The sequence below is a fragment of the Homo sapiens genome, chromosome 12 (genome assembly GCF_000001405.40).
Source record: "Homo sapiens chromosome 12, GRCh38.p14 Primary Assembly".
Classification (NCBI taxonomy): domain Eukaryota; kingdom Metazoa; phylum Chordata; class Mammalia; order Primates; family Hominidae; genus Homo; species Homo sapiens.
Genome location: NC_000012.12, coordinates 37,292,293 through 37,297,751, shown reverse-complemented (window position 1 = coordinate 37,297,751; position 5,459 = coordinate 37,292,293).

The following is a 5,459-nucleotide window of genomic DNA, read 5'->3' as shown; positions in this document are numbered from 1 at the left end:
AGCAGTTTCTGAGAATGCTTCTGTCTAGTTTGTATGTGACGATATCCTGTATACAACGAATTCCTCAAAGATCTCAAAATATCCACAAGCAGATTCTTCAAAAGGAGTGTTTCAAAACTGCTCTATCAAAAGAAAGGTTCAACTCTGTGAGTTGAATGCACACATCACAGAAAAGTTTCTGAGAATGATTCTGTCTAGTGTTTATGTGAAGATATTTCCTTTTCCACCATAGGCCTTAAAGCACTCCAAGTGAACTCCTGTAGATTATACAGAAAGAATGTTTCAAAACTGCTGTATCAAAAGAAAGGTTCAACTCCGTGAGTTGAATGCACACATCACAAAGAACTTTCTGAGAATACTTTTGTCTAGTTTTTTTTGTGTAGATAGCCCGTTTCCAAAGAATTCCTCCAAGAGTTCCAAGCATCCAGAAGCAGATACTACAAAAGGAGTGTTTCACATCTGCTCTACCAACAGAAAGGTTCAACTCTGTGAGTTGAATGCACACATAAAAAAGAATTTTCTGAAAATACTACTGTGTAGGTTTTTTGTGAAGATAACCCGTTTCCATTGAATTCCTCAAAGAGTTCCAAATATCCACAAGCAGATTTTACAAAAGGAGTGTTTCACAACTGCCTTACCAAAAGAAAGCTTCAACTCTGTAAATGGAACGCACACATCACAAAGGAGTTTCTGAGAATGCTTCTGTCTTGTTTTTATGTGAAGATATTACCTTTTCCACCATTGACCTCAAAGCCCTCCAAATGAACACTTGCAGATTCTACAAAAAGAGTGTTTCAAAACTGCACTATTAAAAGAAAGGTTCCACTCTGTTAGGTGAATGCACACATGACAAAGAAGTTCCTGAGAATGCTTCTGTTTAGTTTTTATGTGAAGATATTTCCTTTCCACCATAGGCCACAAATCGCTCCAAATATCCACCTGCAGATTCTACGAAAAGACTGTTTCAAAACTGCTCTCACAAAAGGAAGTTTCAACTCTGTGAGTTGAATGCACACATCCCAGAGAAGTTTCTGAGAATGCTTCTGTCTAGTTTTTATGTGAAGATATTTCCTTTTTCACCATAGGCCTCAAGGCGCTCTAAATGAACACTTGCAGATTCTACAAAAAGAGTGTTTAAAAACTGCTCTCTCAAAGGAAAGGTTCAACTCTGTGAGTTGAATGCTCACATCACAAAGAAGTTTCTGAGAATGCTTTTGTCCATTATTTATGTGAAGATATTTTATGTTTTCCACCATAGGCCTCAAAGTGATCCAAAGGAACCCTTGGAGATTCTACAGAAGAGTGTTTCAAAACTGCTCTATCCAAAGAAAGGTAGAACTCTGTGAGTTGAATGCACACCCCACAAAGAACTGTCTGAAAATGCTTCTGTCTAGTTTTTATGTGAAGATACATGTTTCCAATGAATTGCTCAAAGAGTTCCAAATACCCATAAGCAGATTCTACAAAATAAGTGTTACAATACTCTCCTATCAAAAGAAAGGTTGAACTATGTGAATTGAACACACACACATGAGAAAGGAGTTTCTGAGAAAGATTTTGTCTAGTTTTTATGTGAAGATAATTCCCTTTCCACCATAGGCCTCAAAGCGATCCAAATGAAAACTTGCAGATTCTACAAGAAGAGTGGTTCAAAACTGCTCTATCAAAAGAAAGGTTGAACTCTGTTAGCTGAATGCACACATCACAAAGCAGTTTCTGAGAATGTTTCTGTCTAGTTTTTATGTGAATATATTTCCTTTTCCACCATAGGCCACAAATCGAACAAAATATACACTTGCAGATAATACAAAAAGATTGTTTCAAAACTGCTCTCTCAAAAGGAAGGTTCAACTCTGTGAGTTGAATGCACACATCAGAAGAAAGTTTCTGAAGATGCTCCTCTCTAATGTTTATGTGAAGATATTTCCTTTTCCACCATAGGCCTCAAAGCGCTCAAAGTAAACACTTGCAGATCCTATAAAAGGAGTGTTTCAAAACTGCTCTATCAAAAGAAAAGTTCGATTCTGTGAGTTGAAATCACACATCACAAAGAAGTTTCTGAGAATGATGTTGTCTAGTTTGTATGTGAAGGTATTTCCTTTTAAACCATAGGCCTCAAAGCTCTCAAAGTGAACACTTGCAGATCCCATAAAGGGAGAGTTTCAAAACTGCTCTATCAAAAGAAAGGTTCAAGTCTGTGAGTTGAATGCACACATCACAAAGTACTTTCTGAGAATACTTCTGCCTAGTTTTTACGTGAAGATATTTCGTTCTCCACCATAGGCTTCAAATCGCTCCAAGTGAACACTTGCAGATTCTACAAAAAGACTATTCAAAACTGCTCTATCCAAAGAAGTGTTCAACACTGTGAGTTGAATGCACACATCACAAAGCAGTTTCTGAGAATGCTTCAGTCTAATTTTTATGTGAAGATATCCCGTTTAGAACGAATTCCTCAAATAGTTCCAAATATCCACAAGCAGATTCTACAAAAGGTGAGTTTCAAAACAGCTCTATCAAAAGAAAGGTTGAACTCGGTGAGTTGAATGCACGCATCACAAAGAACTTTCTGAGAACATTTCTGTCTAGTTTTTTTGTGATGATAGATCCTTACCAACGAATTCCTCAAAGATTTCCAAATATCCACAAGCAGATTCTACAAAAGGAGTGTTTCAAAACTGCTCTATCAAAAGAAAGGTTCAACTCTGTGAATTGAACACACACATCACAAACGAGTTTTTGAGAATGCTTCTGTCTAGTTTTTATGTGAAGATATTTTCTTTTCCACAATAGGCGTCAAATAGCTCCAAATGAACACTTGCAGATTCTAGAAAAAGAGTGTTTCAAAACTGCTCCTTCAAAAGAAATTTCAACTCGGTTAGCTGAATGTACACATCACATAGAAGTTCCTGAGAACGCTTTTGTCTAGTTTTAACGTGAAGATATTTCCTTTTCCAATATATGCCTCAAATCGCTCCAAATATCCACTGGCAGATTCTACAAAAAGACTGTTACAAAACTGCTCTCACAAAAGGAAGTTTCAACTCTGTGAGTTGAATGCACACATCACAAAGAAGTTTCTGAGAATGCTTCTGTCTAGTTTTTATGTGAAGATATTTCCTTTTCCACCTTAGGCCTCTAAGCACTCAAAATGAACACTTTTAGATTCTACAAAAAAAATGTTTCAAAACTGCTCTATGAAAATAAAGCTCAACTCTGTGAGCTGAATGCACACATCATGCAGAAGTTTCTGTGAATGCTTCTGTCTAGTGTTTATGTGAGGATATTTCCTTTTCCACCATAGGCTTCAAAGCCCTCCAAATGAACACTTGCAGATTCTACAAAAAGAGTGTTTCAAAACTGCTCTATCAAAAGTAAGGTTCAACTCTGTGAGTTGAATGCACACATCACAAAGAACTTCCTAAGAATGCTTCTGTCTTTTTTTTATGTGAAGATTCTCGTTTCCAAAGAATTCCTTAAAGGATTCCAAATATCCACAAGCAGATTCTACAAAGATAGTGTTTCAATTCTGCTCTATCAAAAGACAGGTTCATCTATGTTAGTTGAATGCACACATCTCAAAGAGGTTCCTGAGAATGCTTCTTCTAATTTTTATGTGAAGATATTTCCTTTTCCATCACAGGCCTCAAAGTGCTCCAAATGAGCAATTGCAAATACTACAAAAAGAGGGTTTCAAAACTGATTTATCAAAAGAAATGTTCAACTCTGTGAGTTGAAATCACACATCACAAAGCAGTTTCTGAGAATGTTTTTGTCTAGTTTTTATGTGAAGATATCCCGTTTACAACGAATTCCTCAAAGAGATGCAAATGTCCCCATACAGATACTACAAAAGTAGTGTTTGAAAACTGCTCTATCAAAAGAAAGGTTCGACACTGTGAGTTGAATGCACACATCACAAAGAAGTTTCTGAGAATGCTTCTGTCTAGTTTACATGTGAAGATATATCCTTTTCCACCATAGGCCACAAAGTACTCCAAATGAACACTCGCAGATGCTACAAAAGATTGTTTCACAACTGCTCTATCAAAAGAAAGGTTCAATTCTGTGAGTTGAATGCACACATCACAAAGAATTTTCTGAGAATGGTTCTGTCTAATTTTCATGTGAAGATATTACCTTTTAAACCATAGGCCTCAAAGCGCTCCAAATGAACACTTCCGGATTCCACAAAACGAGTGTTTCAAAACTGCTCTATCAAAAGAACTGTTCAAGTCTGTGAGTTGAATGCACACATCACAAAGCAGTTCCTGAGAATGGCTCTGTCTAGTGTTTATGTGAAGACATCCCATTTACAAGGAATTCCTAAAAGAGCTCCAAATATCCACAAGTAGATTCTACAAAAGGAGTGTTTCAAAACTGCTCTATCAAAAGAAAGGTTCAAATCTTTGAGTTGAAAGCACACATCACAAAGTACTTTCTGAGAATGCTTCTGATTCGTTTTTATGTGAAGATATTCCCGTTTCCAACGAAGGCCTCAAATATCTCCAAATATCCACTAGCAGATTCTGCAAATGGAGTGTTTCAAAACTGTTCTATCAAAAGAAAGGTTCAACTCTGTTAGCTGAATGCACACATTCCAAAGGAGCTTCTGAGCATGCTTCCGTCAAGTTTTTATGTGAACATATTTCCTTTTCCAACATAGGCCTCAAATCGATCCAAATATCCACTTGCAGATACTATAAAAAGACTATTTCAAAACTGCTCTCTCAAAAGGAAGGTTCAACTCTGTGAGTTAAATGCACACATCACAAAGCAGTTTCTGAGAATACTTCTGTCTACTTTGTATGTGAAGATACCCCGTTTACAATGCATTCCTCAAAAAGCTCCAAGTATCCACAAGCAGATTCTACAAAAGGAGTGTTTGAAACTGCTCTATCAAAAGAAGTTTCAACTCTGTGAGTTGAATGCACCCATCACAAATAACTTTCTGAGTATGCTTCTGTCTAGTTTTTATGTGAAGATATTCCCGTTTCAAAAGAAGGCCTATAATGTATGCAAATATCCAATAGCAGATTCTACAAAAGGAGTATTTCAAACCTGCTCTATGAAAAGAAATATTCAACTCTTTTATTTGAATGCAGATGTCTCAAAGATGTTTCCGAGAATGCTTCTGCGTAGTTTTTACGTGAAGATATTTCCTTTTCCTCCTTAGGCCTCATAGCGCTCCAAATGAACATTTGCAGATTCTATAAAAAGAGTGTATCAAAACTGCTCTATCAAAAGAAAGGTTCAACACTGTGAGTTGAAAGCACACATCAAAAAGAACTTTCTGAGAATGCTTCTGTCCGGTTTTTAAGTGCTGAGATCCCGTTCCCAGAGAATTCTTCAAGAGTTCCAAATATCCACAAGCAGATTCTACAAAAGGAGTGTTTCAAAACTGCTCTATCAAAAAAGAGATTCAACTCTGTTAGTTGAATGCACACATCTGAAAGAAG